General features: G+C 38.4%; 1 long non-coding RNA gene across 1 annotated transcript in view, besides 1 other annotated feature; it reads left to right on the top strand.

The window, feature by feature from the left end:
- LOC105373900 (uncharacterized) overlaps positions 1-18,988 on the top strand; it is a 54,688-nt gene that overhangs the window by 28,901 nt on the left and 6,799 nt on the right. The window lies entirely within an intron of this gene.
- Positions 14,055-14,349: an enhancer, noted in NCBI's record as "tiled region #7272; K562 Activating non-DNase unmatched - State 24:Quies". NCBI's record gives its function as "activates a minimal TATA promoter and a strong SV40 promoter by Sharpr-MPRA in K562 cells {active_cell/tissue: K562}" and the evidence as "EXISTENCE:reporter gene assay evidence [ECO:0000049][PMID:27701403]".

Here is an 18,988-nt window from a genome sequence, read left to right as displayed (position 1 = left end):
TCAGGCAGTTCAGTAATGCTCAAGCTCACACAGAGATAAAGGGATTCAAACTTCGGCTGTCTAACCCCAAATCCCGAGTGCTTAATGACCTTGTCCACACTGCAACTCTAGTGACTGCATTTAATACCTAAGGAAAGAGTGTGGCTATCAGAAGAGTGGTGTCAGCAATAAAGCACAGACAATGAAAACTACAGACACCAAAGCTGGTATAGTTCATCTTGGGATTTCCTCTGAGTGATAAATCCACTCTTGGTGCTGCTCAAATCAGCTTCCAAAATTGCAATGCTTAGAGCCTACCTCATTCATGTTCATGAGCCCCCTTCACTCACACTCATGGTGTGTCTTCAACTGGACAGACCATGAAGACATAAGCTTGAAGACATGAGCTGTTTAAGACCTGGAGCGATGAATTTCTTCAAGACTGTGCTTAGCATGAAGCAATGTCAGGTATATAGCTAGTGCTAATAGATGCTGGTGGAATCCTATTAATCTGAGAGCTCACCTTGTTAAGTATGTGTTAAGAGATACAAAGATTAACTTGGAAACTGCTCATTGTATTCATGCCTCCCCTCCCTGGTCTGTAGCTCAGCCCAATAATGTCAACATTGACTATCTTATACTGACCATTTCCTGTGTTTCTGCGGCAAACGATAAGTAAGAAATAAGCAATTTAAATCTAAAGTGTCTTATATGTTCTATTTCCATGTAGCTCAAAAATACTATAAATTTACTAAAATTACAATAAATAAATTTCAAGTCTTTAAAAAATATGTGTCCACAAAGATCTATTTTAGCGTCCTGTTTTTACCACCTCTTTTTATCAGCCCACACTTTCTAACTGACCCTTTCTCCTCATTTCTTCACTCCTAACCAGAATACGGGTCCCCATAGGCATTGCTTTGTTCAGACTCTCCATTTTCAAAGGTTAAATGCATCTATTTCTTTTATTTATTAGGCTTTTAAGTAAATATGCCCATGACTCGATTCTGATAAGTAAAGTGAGTCTTGGAAAGATACGGCAGAAATGTGCAAAGCAATCTCAGAAGTGGGAGGTTTACTATGTCAAGAAAATTTGAGGATGACACATACTCATTTTCGTGAAAGCTTGGGAGTGTGGATAGCAAGGAAAATTTTCTACTACCTGTAGACTGAAGTCTAGTCTAGAATATTAATGTGACAGTGCTTATTTGCTTCACTGGAGAGAGGAGTTTGTGGGCAAGTATGTGGATAAACTTAATCTCCCCTTAGGTATCAGGTCTGCTATTTTACTATGTTGCCATCACCTGGATGGAAGATCCTGGCACAAAAAATCAGGTTTTCTATCGGCTGAACTAGTGGGTGAAAGAGATTATGCCCAGATTCTTGATAATGTTTTCTGGAACATTGATTGTTAATGCCTGGCTCATATCCCCTTGGACCATTTCTGTGTTCATTTTGCCACCATGGTGGACAGTTCCTGTGCATACTGACTGCTTTCACCTCCAAGTGTTGGTAGGTCTCCTTTCCTCTGCCAGAAGCTCTTTCCAGCACTACAGGACCTGCCTGGTCCTTGTGTGGCCAATGACACCAATGAGGATGGAAGTCACTGCTTCACTGGGGGATAATTCTGTAATGTGAAATGCATGATACCTCAGCGGGTCCTGGAGCATTGAGCCTCAGTTTTCTGCAGCTGCCACACCCTCACTAATATACCCTTCCTTGGCTTCTCTGTCTTGAAGACTAGTTAAAACAATAGAGATAACACAATGCCGGATACAGGTTTTGGTCCATTTCTAAGGGAAACTCTTGTAAAATTGTCTCTTAACTATGCAGCCACTTTGCTCTTTGTTGCCATTGCTCTTTGTATGCTCCTTTGGAAAACCAAACACACCTTGCCTTTAGTACTGTATGCTTCATGAAGGCAGGAGCCATACCTGTTTTGTTTGTATCTGTACCTTCAGCAGGTAACACAAGACTTAGTACACGGTAGACACTTAATAAGAATTCTAAATGGAATTTTATCTATCAATCTCCTATCTATCTATCTGTCTGTCTGTCTGTCTGTCTATCTATATCTATCTATCAACTATCTATCCATGCTTATCTATTCATCCACTTATCTATTCAGTGTATAATTTAGTGGATTTTACTGTATTCACAAAGTTATGAACCATCACTGCTATTTAATTCCAGAACATTTCTATCACCCTAAAAAGAAACCCTGTACTTCACAGCCCTGCCCACAACCCACTGCCAATCATGAATGTACTTTCTGTTTCTATGGATTTATTTATTCTAGATAATTTAATATAAATGGAATCATACAATATGTACCCTCTTGTGTCTGGTTTCTTTCACTTAGCATGTTTTCAAGGTGTAGCATGTGTTAATATTTCATTTCTTTTTACAGTTGAATAATATTCCTTTGTGTGGATATGGAACATTTTGTTTATCTATGTATCAGTTGATGGACGTTTGGGTGGTTTCCACTTTTTGGCTATTATGAGTAATGCTGCTATGAAGATTCATGTACACACAGATGCACCATTTCACATTCCCATCAGCAGTGGATGAAGGTTCCAGTTGCTCTACACTCTCACCACTTGTTATCATCTTCTTTTTATTATATCCACCTGAGTGTCAGATTCAATTTGATTTGAGAAGAATGGTCTTTGGAGAACCTCTCAGCTTCCTTTTTATCTAGCAATTTGCTTTTTCTTGAGTTTGCCCTCATGTTGCCTCGATACAGAAAATAAACTTTATAAAGCAGCTGATATTGTTGACTTACATAAAAGCTGTGGTTGTCTTAATTTTCCTTGGCAGTCCCCTTTCCAAGCCCAAGAAAATCAGAGGTGTTTCAACATCATAGAATGTGCAGCTCTGACCACCGTCAAGTTGTGTGGCCATAAGAAAGTCACTTCTCGATGGACCTTAGGTATTTTGTCTGTATATTGAATAAGTCCTGTTCAATAAATTATTAGAATAAACTTTTAAAGTTCACTTTTATTTTTAAAGTTCAAGGCAAGCAGTAGTGGATAACTTTTTTTTTCCATCTCTATATCCCTTCCTTTGGAAATTGTTATTCATCTGTGGCAATTGATTTTGATGTAAATCTTAGAGTTAACATCTCTCACTCCAGAAGTGTAATCAACTGAAAAACCTCTTCCTCCTGGGCAGAATGATCAGTTCAAGGATAGGCACATGACTCATGCTGGGAAAATCAGGGCCTTTCCTGTGATTTCTCAGCTACAGCTGTCAGGGAAGATGCCATCTGCTACTGGGGCTACTATGCTGAAGAAACGTGAATCCTGTACAGCTAATGGCTATTATGGACATCACAGAGAAAGGACCTATCTTAGAAATAGTGAGATAGATAGCATTGTTTGAACTCCTGGTTCCAACTGGGCCTGAAATCAGACATACTCCTCTATTTTTCAGTCAATTTATTTATTTATTTATTTATTTATTTATTTATGTGTTTATTTATTTATTTTTGAGACAGAGTCTCACTCTGTTGCCCAGGCTGCAGTGCAGTGGTGCGATCTCAGCTCACTGCAACCTCCACCTCCCGGTTCAAGTGATTCTCCTGCCTCAGCCTCCCAAGTAGCTGGGACTACAGGTGCGTGCCACTGTGCCTGGCTAATTTTTGTATGTTTAGTAGAGACAGGGTCTCATCATGTTGGCCAAGCTGGTCTCGAACTCCTGACCTCAAATGATCCACCCACCTCGGCCTCTCAAAGTGCTGGGATTACAAGTGTGAGCCACCATGCCAGACCCATTTTTTATTTAAGTTGAGTTTCATTGACTCCTATTAATCAGAAGCCACACACAAATATTTACTGAATGCTTTGTGGTAGATACTTTGAAGTAAACAAAGAAGTGTAAGTCCATACTTTCAAAGAGTTCATAGACTAGTTTAATGGTCACAAGGTGGAAATAACAAGAATAAAATAAGAAATAAGAAAGCCAGCTTTGCAATCGCCCTTTTCTATATGAGGAAAATGCTTTGGCTGTCTACTTTACTGATCAGTTTCTTAACCAGCACACCATTTCAGAGACTCTGCAGTTTCAAAGCACAGCCTCTCACATTGTTTTCATGTCTGATGGCCCTGAATGCTCTACCGCATATTAGCTGCATGACTTTGGATATGTTTTCTTAATGTTCAGAACCCCATATTTTTTGTCATCCATAAAATAGGGGTAATATTATTTAGTTAATGGGTTGTTTTGAAGATTAAATGAAATAATTCAGACAATTCAGTGCCTAGTATATCATAGTAAAATAGATCTCATATCTTTTTTCTGTGTAGAAACATCCTCCATCTTAAAAAATCAAACTACTGCAAAATTTTAAAAAACACATTTAAGCAAAAGCAAGCTTTTTTCCCCTTGAAACAGTGATATGAAATAGTTCTTCAGCTACATCTTAAAATAATAATCATTTATGTGGGATAATAAATTCGCAAACACATTTAAACAACATAATCTGATTGTTAGCCCAGAGGTTGGTACATTTTAGGAAAGCTAATAGGCAGAGATTGATATTCATTGCCCATAACTAACCCTCACACAGAATGAAGAGGATGACAAGAAATTTAAACAACAGTGAAAATTTATGTATTAAAAATTATTTTTTCCTGAAGGCCTGGATGTTCTGATTATGTGCTTAATTATAACAATCTCCATATCATCTTGGTAACATAACCAATAAATCCATTTATCATTGACCCCAGGACTGGTTGGCACAAAAATAAAAAGTGAAAATAATGTAGTAACCCAAAGGGCATCCTAGTGAACCACCCCATATTATTATTATTTAATGGGCATACATGATAAATTAATGTTATGTTAATGGATAATCATTGTATCTTCTATCGACTCCTGGCATGTATAAAGTGTTCATTTGACTTTAAGTTGCATTTCTAGTCATCTCAAATCATAGTTACTCCTATTAGCCCTTGTTTTTATGGGCCTGACTCTAACTGCAAGGTGGCCAAAATTTTCTGAAACAGTAAAGAAGCAATTGAAAATATTTAAAGATATTTGCTGAAAAGAATTGTTAGAGGACATGTATAAACTGAAAACCTGAAATGGGGATGAGGGTTGTCATTTCAGTCTAAAACAGTGGCAAGTTTGTTTATGGAATAATCATCCTATAAATCAATTATTTTTCTGATTAGATTATACTCATAAAGAAATGAATACAGTGCCCTTTAGAAATGCAATATAGTTATGAAAAAAGAAGCCCACCCTCTCCCTGTACATTTTAGTGATTAGCAAAGCTACCTCATGGTTTGGATGGAGGCCCAGAAAATGATCCAAATGGGATTATATTTTCTTAATCTATTAGAATAATGTACAACTTGCTTTCATATTGCTACCCTACCCCATCTAACTTGGCAGGTATTGTTAGCAGACGCTGAAATGGTGATATGCCAGAGACAGACTCATATACAGTTTATCATCTCCAGACACTGTGTCTGTCATAGCCTGAGATCTGAAGAAGAAAGTATTGCTGACTAGAAGAGAATTCATGTGTTTTAGAATTTGATTGATTATATGCACCTAGTTAATAGTCAGTGTGATCAGCGTTATGCAAACATAGAAAGGTCATAGCTCTGGTTTGCTAGAAGTGATTGTCATGCACACACATCAACCCACTTCTAACCCCTCCACTCAATACACATAAAGCTTGAAACAGTGAGCGTGGAGTTTCAAATTCATAATCGAAATGTGGAAAAACCAAAGGTGATTAGGAGAAGTCATTTCTCAGCACCTGTTTTTCAACTGCATGCTTAGTCCAATAAGCATAAGCACTGGAGTAAAATGCTGTTTTGTACAGAGCAGGAGGCCCTGGTCAGGCCAGTTCAGAATTAAGGAGCTCAGAATAAAAACTGACGTCTACTCAGAGAGGAAATCAAGGCCTTACTATCTGCTAGGATGATTTGTTTAGACATGACTGAGAGATCCGTGGATAAGAGCAAAAGACACCAGTCATACCAAAGAAAAGGGATGCCACTCTTTCTTCTCCCTGTGGATACCTAGTCTGCCCAAGAGGCATTGGAGAATCTTGCCTTCTGGGAGAGGGCACCACGAGCTAGGAAAGCATGCTTATTTTGTCTATGAACATGCAAGCAGAGCTTACTTACTTACAGTACTGGCAAGGGGCTGAGACTCTGGATGGATGCTGAGAGGACCAAGCAATGCAACAGCTCAATGAGCTTTGAGACTCCTGCACAGCCTCTAGGACTCTTGGTCTGCATCTACTGCTTATAGGCTAATTCTTTTCCTGTGTGCTACCCACAAGGTTATGACCAAGCTATCTAACGATTCTTAGAATGTCACTGACATGACATTTCTGGAATCAGCTCATTTATTTATTGAATTTCTCTAGTGCAAAGAAGCAGGTTAATAGATAGTCTTGAGGCACCATACAAAATAATAAAAGCTATAATGGAGCTAAAAGTTTCTAACATCGTTTCCAATTTTATTTTTCATTCGTTGTTCCATTCAATATTGCAATACTTGTGGAAACATATGTAGTTATGTAAGCCAGCTATTTAGGAGTCCAGAGGTGGGGTTGTTTAAGTTATGCCTCTGTGAGGGGTGATTTTTGCTTCCAAATATATATTTGTCCTTTAGATTCTTAACCTTTAGCCAATTCCATATTTGCCATGATTTATTTCCTATATGTTTTTGACCTTCTCTTGGCAGATGGATTCAACATTATTATCTTCATTGAGAATGATTCTGACACTGCCTAGAGAGATACAATTGTATTCTGTTTATGTAATATAGAACGCCAGAGCACTTTTTTAAAAGCTATTGTCATGTATCACTGTCAGTATTTTGAACCACTAAATTGTGATTAAAAATTCAGAGACAATAATCCATTTTGAGAATACCATAAGAGAAGCAAATACTGTAGTGACTGATTGACATTTTAGGAATAACATCATTTAAGACATGCTAATTTCCCTGAGATCCTTTCCTTGGATAAATGCCTATTGTATACATAACTTTGGTTTCCAACCCCTTCCCAGCAGTTGCTTTCAATGAGGGATGCTGAAATGAGATTTCCTTGTATTCTGCATGGTTCTACAGCCAAAACTTTTTTTTAAGTTAAAAAACAGCCTGCTTCATAGATACAATGAATGCCTTTGTTTACTAGCAAAGAGGTTTTTGGATCACATGGTTTCCATTATTTTTCAAGAAACAAACAGCTATAATAACCACCAAAAGTGTCTTGTGCAGTGGTTTAGAAGGAGCCAGCTGCAATGAGAAACATACTAGACAGAGAGTCAGGGAACAGGAGAATTCTGATCCCCACTCTGCCCTGACAAAGCTGTCAACATGACCTTGAGCAGGGGATTTAATTGTCTATAGCTGTAGTAGGGCTTTGAGGTTTTGTTTCTGTGCTATTTCTGTTTTTTAATCAAGGATGTTTGGGTGCGTTCTAGCTCTGGTAGCCTATGATATGATGCCTTAGGTAAAAATATAAGAGAATACTTCATTGATATATTTTGTCTACATTCTTTAAGGAATGATAATTCTATTTTTTTTTCAGTCAAGAGTGAAAAATTGACCTTCTAGTCCTGTAGTTTTCAAATATCTTCATCCTATAAGCCATTTTGGCGGGACAAAACACTCACAGATCATTTGTCCAACAACTTTCACTTGTCACTACAAAAGAAAAGAATAAATAAATGGGCTCATTAATGGAAAATATGTTGCTTCTTTCACTCAGATGCTAATGAGAATGATCATAAACGCATTGTTCATGCATTTTGTACCAGAAAGCATAGATTCCAGTATGATAAAAGGATGGAGAGCAATAATTTGCATCTATGTACTGTGCCAAGTTTATGAAACAGTTGCATTTTTAAAAGTCTTATTTGACCCTCAAGAAACAGAGTATTATTTTTTCTGTTAGATGAGAAAATTGAAGCTGCATTATGAGGGAGAGAGTCAAATGAAGAATCAATCCCTGGCCTCTGGTTTTTACTTTGGTTTGCTGTGCATTATGCCATATGCCACCATAATCTCATAGGAGAGTATTGCAACCACCATTGATTGAGTGGCCTCAACATTATTTTGGGACATTGGGATGGACACTTAATCTTTATACTAAAAAATGTTCATTTGAGAAAGAACTACTAGGAGAAGACAGTATTAATAATGGAGGGATTATTGTGATAATAAAGAGCCCCTAATATTTGTGTAGAACTACATGGTTCACTAGTGCTTATTTCATGGCTTTCTTACTACAAAAGTCTAGCTAGGCTCTCTGACGTTTGGTTGCAGATGTAGAAACCTGTTCTAAGAGGCCGAGAATCTGTGCTTTATACAAATCGTATATGGCAGAGCTTGTGGCCCCCAGTGGTCTCGGAAATTACACAGTATGAAATTACTATGCAGCTCTGCCATATACCACTTGTGTAAGACACAGATTCAGATCTCCTGGCTTCAGGCCTAGTGCTGTTTACATAATTCCATATTATGTAGTTTCAGACACCATTGGTGGACACATTTTAGTTGTCTTCTGAAAGTTCAGGTTTTTTTTTTTTAAACCGATAATCACTCTTTGACAGAAGAAAGCGTGAGTGCATAAGAGGTAGGCAATATAAAATACCAGATAAAAATATGAGTTCTTAAGTGAGAAAAAATTCTACTTCTTGCTTACCTACTAGTGTTAGGATACTGGATGAGGACCCACCTGTACCTTTCAAGACCCCTTTACAAGGAATCTCTCAGTACAATAGGAATCCTTTTTTTTTCTTTGTCTCCTACCTAACTGCAATGGAATTAAGTTCTGCACCTAGCAATTGATCTACTCCTTCCCTTTCCAATAAAGTTGGTTTCTCATTTATGGAGTTGCCAAAGCAAAAGTCACAACCATTTGTCAATTAAGCAAGTATTTCTTTAAATATCTGAGATACATTAATGCCAGAAATGATAAAATCTCAGTTTGGGGCTTGCACCCTCTTTAGCCATTGCCTCTTGTGTTTACTCAGCATTAGTTCAGAATTTAACTTTCAGAGTGCAGCTGAAAGAGGAGTCAGTACTGGACTATGATGGGTTGAATACAGCTCTATAGATCCTAATAACTCGTATCACTTCAATGCTCTGGGTCTTTTATGTATATAATTGAAAACCTCTCATTCAAAATGACACCTGAATTACTCATTGGTCAGTCAAAGTAGATGGCACTCTTGTTCCTCTTACTGTGTGGACAGCAGCAAGAATCTGGGATTGGCTGCTCCATTTACAGTATTGGTTGGCATCGTGATGAATAAGGTGAGAGGGAAGTTAAGATACGTCAAAAAGGACAGAATGGGCTTAGAAGACTGTAGCATGTCTTTCGTTTGTCACTTTCTAAGGTATTCCTCAATATTTCTTGTCTGAAAGCCAAAAGCATTTTTATGTTCTAAACAGCAATCCACTAGGGTGAAGGGCAGGAAGTTAGTGATGAAATGGTCCTAGGTTCATGTGGATGGATGTGTATGCACTTGTAATACATTTGAAATGCATCAGTAAACTACTACGTACATTCACATGTTCACAGCGTATGTGAGAATTCAACAAGACATCACCTTTAAGGCAGTAAATACTACATCCCATTGGGAACTGCTTCTTGTCACAATAATGATAAAAATAAAAAGCATAATAATAAGAACCATTGCTCAGAAATTGGGTCCCATAGGGCAGAAGTAGGAAAATGAGTGCCTTGGAATGGAATAAACAAAAGGAGGAGAGGGGGCATTGCTTTGTCTGCTTTGAATTCTGGCCCCAATCAGGTATGAGGTCTGGGTTGTCTCCTTGACTGCCACTGTTAGGCTTTCTGATTTAATGCTTTTGTGGTTTCATGCCCTCACATTATTATGGTGGTCTCACACCATAATTATATCTCCTCCCACTAAATGCCAGGAGGATCTGTTGAATGAAAAAAGGACAATGAGGTCAGAGCTGTACAATTGGTCAGAGCAATACAAATTGTGGTTGCTGGCATTATGAAGACTGAATATGCAGAACTGAATATTAGATGCTTTTTGGGAACTGGAATCAAAGGCATTATTAGACTTACCATTGACTTCCACAACCTTTTCAGCTGGAGTCTCAGTGTTTAGTATCAGTGGCCTGGAGATAAATAAGTGTCTTGGTCCTGGGAACCAATGGTCCTTCTCTAATGGACCATCAGTCCAAAGGAATGTTTGTCATTTGGGGTCCACAGTAAACGTTAACTGGCAAATGCTTTTTAATAATTCTACAGAGAGAGATACGGCAATGGAAAATGTTCATGAATACACTCCCCATCTCTCAAATAACTGTTTCCACCTCAATCCATTTGTCTTAGGTACAGTAGATCGCAAGATTTCTAGTAAATTAATTTAGGTGAGAGCAAAATCCATTGTTCATAAATTTTTCCCTCAGGGAAAAATGCTTTTCAAATCACCATCTGCTTATCTGCCACTTTGTGTTTGCTACTCTTCAAATCCAACAGGAGGGCAGAGGGCTCAGAGCTAGGTAGGTGTTTGACAGCTGTCATGGACCAGGACATATGAAGGTGCTCTCCAATGCTTAGAGCCAACACGGTCCCACTTGTTCAATGTGGATCACTTGCAATAATAGCACTACTCACTTTCCACCCAAGGTGTCCAAGAATATAGCTCTAAAAGATTATCTTTCTTTCCAAAAATACAAGCATATTTAAGATGGAAACCCTTTTTGCCTTCCTTTTCTTCTGAGTACAACTTTATAAGTAGGATGATGTCAGAACTGCCAAGGAAAACAAATCAATTTCTTCTGGTTTTTTAAAAATGAACAAGAAATGCTGAGTGAATCAAAGGCAATGAGGCAGGGTTCACTAAATGCACCAGCATCAGGAGGGAGGTCGAGTTAAGATTCTGTCTGACTGTCGGAGTTTACTAAAAAAATTTAAGTACCATTACCGGAGACAAAATATTGTATGTGTGCATTAGCTCTTGGCTAGATAGTCAAAACTCGTGTCCATGGTATAATTTTTATATATAAATTGATGCACTACAAATCGATGTTCTTTACTCTCAGCTGTGCCCTGAATACTGCTCAGAAACCCTGTTATTCATCTGACTTCCTATCACACTCTCCCTGTGGGCTAGTATAAACCTTTGTAACTGACTGGCTCCACTCCCACATACTCTAGCTGATGGCTTCTTCCCCAGAGGCTCCCTTTATTTTCCTTTTCTTCCAAGCAAGACCCTTCGTGTACGGCTTTGCTTTCATTCATTTTCATTTTTATATTGTCTTAGGACCTCAAATCTTCTCGTTCAGTCCTCCAGCATTATCTTTTGAGCTTTGCAAGGTGCCTGCTCTTCTTTCCTTCTTTGTTGCAAGAATTTAGGCTGGCTAAAGTTCTCTGTTTTCTGAGCTCCATAGACTCCCTTGCAAAGGCCTGAGATGGGCTCAGGGCAGTCCTTTAAGCTCAAGCGGGACCACTGGGTTTGATGACCACCATCATAGGGTTTGATGACCACCACCGTAGGGTTTGATAACCCCCATAGTAGGATTTGACTCTGGCTTTTGCAGGAACATTTCAGAGCCTATCTTATCCCCTCACTGCTGTCTGCAGTCCTTATCTCTCTGCATCTTCAGTGCTATCTACTTCATGGAATTCTCCATTTCCACAATACTTACTGCCAAAATACTCAAATCTGATATTTCTTCCAGCTACTGATTGTCTATCTGTTCTTTCACTGCTAAGCTTCTGAAACACATTTTTATATGGATTGCCTCTGCTTTATCACCCCCTTACACACTGGGGAAAAAAAATTCCTTTAACTTTTGAGGAACTGCATTTTTCTGGTTTTTCTTCCTTTCTGCTGGATCCTTCTCATGTGCTTCCTCCTTCTCCCAGTCCCTAGTAGGCATTCCATATGATTAAGATTACAACATCTTGGAGATTTATTTTATTTCTTTATTTCAACAAATATCCTTATGCTAGTAACCCCAAAATCTACATCCCTATCCAATCCTTTCTCCAGAGCTCCAATTACCTTTTCACAACTCTATTGATAATTTCCACCTGTATATCCATTAATACTCTGACCTCTTGTTTTTAAACTTTGCACATTATCTCCTCTTCAACTCTCTCTTCTCGTCTTTTCTAATTCTGTTAATGACATAGTAACAAAATCACCATCAAAATCTTAGTGTTATCTTCCTTTCCTCCCTTTCTCTTGTGCTACCTGCAATTGATTACCATGCTCTCAGGAGCCTAACTCCTTCTTACTGCCTTCCCATTTCTCTTCCTTCTGTCTTAGGCCAGGAGTCCCCTTCTCTTGCCTGTGCCCTTGGAGTTCCCCTCACTGTTTTTCTGACTAGGGGCATCTCTCCCTGCAACCTGTCTTCCACATTCCTCTTGGAATTTTCTTTCTTAGACTCGGCTATCAACTCACTATGTCTTCACGTTTAAGAATGTTTGGTGCCCTTCTGCCTAAAGAATCAGGCTCAAAACACATTTTATATCATTTAAAGTCTTCTACACCGTGGCCCTGGTCTTTTTCCTTCTGTTTCCTATAACTTCCCTTTGCTCATCCTATGATCAGTGTTTTTTCTCCTTGCCATTTCTTTCTGTTGACATCAGACCCATTATTTAAGGACTGGTTCAAGACTCAATAGACACTCCTTGTACAAAGCCTTCTCTGGATACCCTATTAATAATAGCTTCCTTCTTCTCCTTCTAGCTTCTTTTGCTTGTCTTCTCTAGACCTTTCTTCTGCCTTTCGTTACTGTCCGGTGAGCAACTCGAGAGTCTAGGTTTAGCTGCTGGCACCTTGAGGAAGTACTCAATGCTTCATAGATTAAACGGAAGTTAAGGCTGATTGTGATGGAAACAAGAACCAGCTGTTTATAATTTTGCAATCGTTTTAAAAGATAAACATTTTCAAAGATCTTTATTCGGTAAAATCCAAATAAGGCAACTGATCACTTTTCATGGTTTCTAATTTATTCAATCAGACAGGTGTAAAATGGCTGTAGAAAAGCAGACATGCAAATTAATTATCCATTTAACCTCTGACAAAAGAAGATAATCTGACACCTTTTCAAGACTCTTCCTTTTCCCCTCTCAATCAGGGCAATAATGTAAAATTTAACTGATATGTTTCAAGGAAAGTGTCACGTTCATGGCCCTTTGCTACATAGTCTCCTGCCTCCGCAGCTGAGCAGACTGTGGATAGGAGATAAAAGTGGGTAAACAGAGGAAGGCAGGTTTATATGTGATGCACCTGTGATCAAGGGAAAAGCTGCTTGTACTGGTGAGACTTACATGTGCGTTAACAGAAAGCAGGATAGCAGGGTTAATGACTCCCTATGAGAAGAATGAGTAAACACAGATTAGGATTATATTTTTGGAATCAACAATGCAATATTAACCAACGTAGGAGTATACTGTCTGATCCCAATTCCAAGAATTTCCTTGCTGAATTTCAGAAGTTTCCATCTGATAGATTTATTACACAGAAAACTATGAAGAGTTTTCTTTGCTGGGTTCTTAGCTTCTTTGCTAAGAGAGAACGAAACTCAATGTAAAGACACTCATTTTAAGATTGCTTTAACAATATTTAGCATCGAATATCATTTGTTTTCTATATGGCAATATTTCTCAGGGCATTTTTTTAAGAAATGACGGAAAGAGAAAAGTGTGATTGTCTCCCATATGGGTTTTTGAAACATTATGAAAACACGGCTTAGATAACTCGCAGAACTTCAAACACTTTAAAAAGCTGAGAGTGGCTGGCTTTGAACTTAACATCTTGATAAATAATTTCTTAAATGAGTACATTTAAGGCTAAATTAACTTTTAAAATGGTCACTTATTCAGCAGGAAGGCATCTGTAGCCTTTCTTTTTTAAAAATGGCCAATTATATATAAATCACCTACTTTTTATGGTACTAATTCAACACTTTTCAAAATGGAAGTTCTATCCTATTTTCCTACTGGGTATGCACTGGATATTTGCAAGTGCCTTGAATTCAAATAACAAACTGAACTGTAGCCTGATGTAGACACTAAGGGACAGGAAGCAGGGGGTGGAAGTCTGGCTTAGACTGTGCCATAGATCACATGCACACGCCAGGTGCCGGCCTTCCACCACCATTACTAGCAGGGCTTTCAGAAGAAACTAAAATAACAGGAACAAGTTACAAGAGAAATGGCCCAATACCCTAGGCCCACCCCGAAGGGATGCTGGGTCTGAGAGATGGGGAGGTCAGCCCTGATTGCCAGCTGTAATATCCTGTGAAAACATCATTCCATTGCTTCCTTTGCCTGCCCTACTTTGAAAGGAGTTTCCTTCATTGGCTGCTTACATTTCCCCACCACAACTTGGAATCAAGCTTGGGACTTCACCAATTTACTGACTGTATTTCAGAAAGGTCTGCCAGTCACCAAACCAAGGTCCGTTTCCTGAGTTCTCATCCTGTGCTATATCCCAGCCATGTTTGAAAATATTGAGTTAGTGGCTACATTTCTGTTCTAGCCTCCCTTGATAATAAAAAGGTAATCAGGTCTTGTTTGTATATTTTAAAAATTAAAAATCATGCTATTATATCATAATATATATAGTGTATGTAAATACATATATAGGTCTATTTAGTTCATCTATGTCTATGAAATGTCAGAGAATAGAATTAAACAAAAAGTAAAGAAAATGGCTTATTTGCTTACCACTATTTTTAACACCTTGGTTTAAGTTCCTCCTCATATCTTTTAAACACCTTGGTGTATATACCTCTGACTGTTAAAAATAAATGTAAATATATACACATTTGGAATCACACACTGTTCCATGACCTATAACTTTAAAAATATTTAAGGTATTTAAGTACCTGCCCATGCTAACACATACCTGCTTACTTTGGGTGGGTGGGCTGATTTTTTAGCACTCAGATCCCCCTGCTGTGCCTTTGTTCTTAGGGCCAGTCCCTGTAAACTACACTTCTTTTTCACAAGAGCTTACTTTTAGTCCAGTGGGAAGCAGTGGGAGAATGAAGGGTGGGAAGGTGGAACAGCCTGGGTATTTCTCTTCGTCTCTGTTTTGGTGGAAGTCTCTGGCAGGACAAGCTACATAATTTCTGGGCTTCTGTGTAAAATGAAAAGGAGGGTGCCATTCAAAAATTATTAAAAATTTCAAGGCCGGGCGCGGTGGCTCACGCCTGTAATCCCAGCACTTTGGGAGGCTGAGGCGGGCGGATCACAAGGTCAGGAGATCGAGGCCTTCCTGGCTAATACGGTGAAACCCCGTCTCTACTAAAAAAAAATACAAAAAATTAGCTGGGAGTGGTGGCAGGTGCCTGTAGTCGCAGCTACTTGGGAGGCTGAGGCAGGAGAATGGCGTGAACCCAGGAGGCAGAACTTGCAGTGAGCAGAGATCGCGCCACTGCACTCCAGCCTGGGTGACAGAGCGAGACTCCGTCTCAAAAAAAAAAAAAAAAAAAATCAAGATGGTGGCAGCAAAGCATTAAACCAGCACACTTTTGTGCTTGGGGCCCTTCCAAGTGGGAAGCTCGGTGCAGCTGCACAGATTTCACTCCAAGAACACAGCTCTGGTCTCTGGCAGGGGCTCCATCTCTTCTGTGACTCTGATTCAGGCCATATGGCCTTGCCACAGAGCTCTCTGGGTGACTGCTTGGACAGCCTCTCTCCAGTTGTCTTCGGCACTATGGGGTGGTGTGGCTTCCTGCAGTGGTAAATCTGGGGGTTGTCCCACTTTCCCTGTTTTCTCTTTCAGCTTTTCCAACATGTGTGTAACTAGCTCTCCCTGTTAAACTTCTCCTACGGAACTCCCTGTCTTGACCCTCACTGATTGCAACATTAGGGATGGCAAGAACCTGGTCATCATGCTGCCATTTCCTTTATCCTGCTATTGTTGCATCCATTACTCATTGGTAACAGTTTTGTTTCTTTGAGACTAAACTCAACCTCAGAATTCTTCTCAACACAGTGCTTAATTTCAGTTGAAACATGACATAAAATCTGCATGGCCTCTGTACTTTACCATCCTTTTAAACAACAGCATGTTTTCTACTGTAGTTACAGTGCATTTTATTTAACTAATCCCTAATTCATGACAATTAATATGTTTAAAATTTTTCACCAATTCAGTAGTGAACAGCCTCGCATATGTGTCTTTATTTCTTCAAGTGTCTTAGGACAATGTCTTCGAAGTAGAATTGCTAGGTAAAAGAATATGCACATTGTATATTTTGATACATATTGCCCTCTCAGAATGGTTGTATGAATACTAGAATGTTTAAGTAGGAAATATGTCTATAGTATGCTAAGACTGATCTTTTTTCCCTTCAAAATGATTAGGGTTTTATACACTTATTTCAACAAATTATTTCTGTAATTCTGTGAAAATTGTCTTTAGATCCTGTTTCAAAGGGACTTAAAAGTCACCCTATTAGTACAACTTATTTTTAAGTAAAAATAGTATTACTAAGATGAATTGCCTACCCTGGTCTCTGGACTTGCTTTCAATGGACTTTTGATTATTTTTCAAAAATATAACTCTATTTTCATGCATTGAAGCTTCCTTATTTTTGAAGACAGTCAAAACAATAGCCTGCTGTCCCTGAAGGCTTGAATCGAAGAGCTGGAAACTCTTCTAAGAAATTGCTACAGCCTTATTTAATCCTATAGCTTCCCAGGGTAACCCCTGTGGGAGAGAAAATACTCGCTAAGATGTGTAAAGTTAGTACATTTGTTTACAACCTCAGTTGCTTTATGTTATCTAGGTACCTCATCTTCATTAGCAGTAGGTTAACTCTACCTATAATTCCTTTAATTACAAACTTTTGTCAAAGGGGCTGTAAAATATTTATTTAGCTTGATTTCATTGACAAAGCAAAGGAAATATCTCATTTATAAGTACCTCATCTTTCACCTGGAATTGTTCTGACTGAAAACAATGTTGTTGTTTTTTTAAGTATGCAATAAATTATGCTTCTTGATTTTAAAAGATAGCCCACCCTTCAAAGAGCTTTGGGTCATTTCATTTTGCATACTCTGTCCAAGGTAATTTCTAATTTGCTCTTTTCAGAAACAGCATGGGGGAGGTGCTGTTATACTATTTAATGTTTTCTCATTCCTTTCTTACCAAAAATATCATGCAGCTCTCAAATCATCACAGAGCAAACAAAAACACTCTCTCTCCACCCCTCTGGCTAAAATCTGTGGGTTTAAAGGCAATGTCTGGTTTTAGTAATATGAAATTCTGTGTTAGCCTTAGAGATGAGAGATCAATGACTTATTCTTGTAATCCCTTAACTCTTAAACAGTCTACCAGAAAGCTGGTTTCAAAAAATAAGACCAGGCTTTGCATTTAGATAGAGACTCAAATGAGTCACTGGGAATGTATGTGCTCCTTTTGGTGCTGTGTTTTCGTCCCATCAGACCCATAAATTATACTGGTCTCAGCTCTTTAATTCCCTTTAGGAGGACTGGGATAAAGAACATCAGCCCATTCTAAAAAATCCTGCTGTTTTTATGACACACAGAAATAGCTACAAGAAATACCTTAATCATTTTTACTTGCGGGGTCATGTAACATTTTTTTTTTCCCTCAAAAGTTAATGATCACAAGAGGCCCGCACACATACACACACAGATCCCTAGCCCTTGGGTCTACCTAAGTCACCTTTATGGCACAGCCCCAAAATGAAACTATACTTAGTTCTCTGAATTTGCACTCTTGTTATACACTTTTCAATTTATAGGTTTCCATTTCATTTCCTCTGCAAGCCATGTTGTAGCTATAATATTTCGGTTCTTGAACAAGATATTTACTTAGCAGGTCTAGACTAATAATCCAGCTTAAATTTTCACTCATGGTGTGAAATTGATTGAGGCCTGTCTCCATTAATCAGAATCTTACAGACTACTTGGGATTTTCATTCCTATATTTATACTTTTAGGTATTCTTGTGCCTGGAATGACCTTCCTTCTGATAGATGCAAGAGGCAGATAAGAGGGAAGGTCCCCAGAAAATCTCCTGTGCACTGGGAGGATGGGGTGGAGCCACGGAAGTTCAAGCCCTTTGCAGGGGGAGGAGCCTGGCCCCTCCTGTTCCTGTGTGGTAACTTGGGATTCAATCTGTGAGATGGGGGCCTGTTAACAGGAATCCTTCTCGCTTTGTTGTGTTGTTTTTCCTTTTTCCTTTTCACCCATAACTCCTCACCCTTCAAAGTGTCTGCTAGCCTAATCTTTCCTGGTCATGTGACAAGAACCTGGATTTTTCTACAACACTTCTCCATTCCATCTAATGAAATTCCTTCTTCCATCAAAGCTCAGATCAAGTTCTGCTTCCTTCCATGAATCTTCTCCAATTTTTAAAATTATTAGCACTACACAATTCTCTTTATTCTCTGAACTCTTATGATATGAAATACAATGTTTTGAACTTTTTTTGGATAATTGTTTTCTAAAAGAGAATGTATACCACTTATGGACAGTTGGCATGGCATATCTCCAGAAAGCCTTCTTTCCCAAATCTTCCTAGCATGGGGTCAGGGCGAGAGTCAAACCGAGGTCCTCACATTGTCTCATTGTCTTTATTGGTAAATCAATCTTCATGTAAGAAAAGATGTGAAAATATAGGGATTTTACTTAATCGATTCAAAGTGAGGTCTTGATGACAATAACTGTTTTGCTCATTTTTATTGTGTTGATGTCCAAACATCAAATATATAATATATAGTTCATGAATTTTATGTGGGTCCTGTTTACCACAATCCTATTCTCTTTCATTGTTTTCAGTTTTCAAACATTAAACAAATCACCTATTTGGAAAATGTATCTTTCTGTTTTTCTTTTTAGCCTTTTATTCTTTTCTGAACTCCCTCTTTAATATTTTCCATTTCTATCATTTTCTCACTTTGTTCTAATTTTCAAGAATCTAAAGGATTAAAAAAAGAAAATGCATTTGTACTCAAAGCATACTAGAAAATATTTTTATCAAAAATATAA

The sequence above is a fragment of the Homo sapiens genome, chromosome 2 (assembly GCF_000001405.40).
Source record: "Homo sapiens chromosome 2, GRCh38.p14 Primary Assembly".
Classification (NCBI taxonomy): Eukaryota; Metazoa; Chordata; class Mammalia; order Primates; family Hominidae; genus Homo; species Homo sapiens.
The sequence above is the reverse complement of the archived record's forward strand: the minus strand, read 5'-3'. Positions and strand labels throughout refer to the sequence as shown.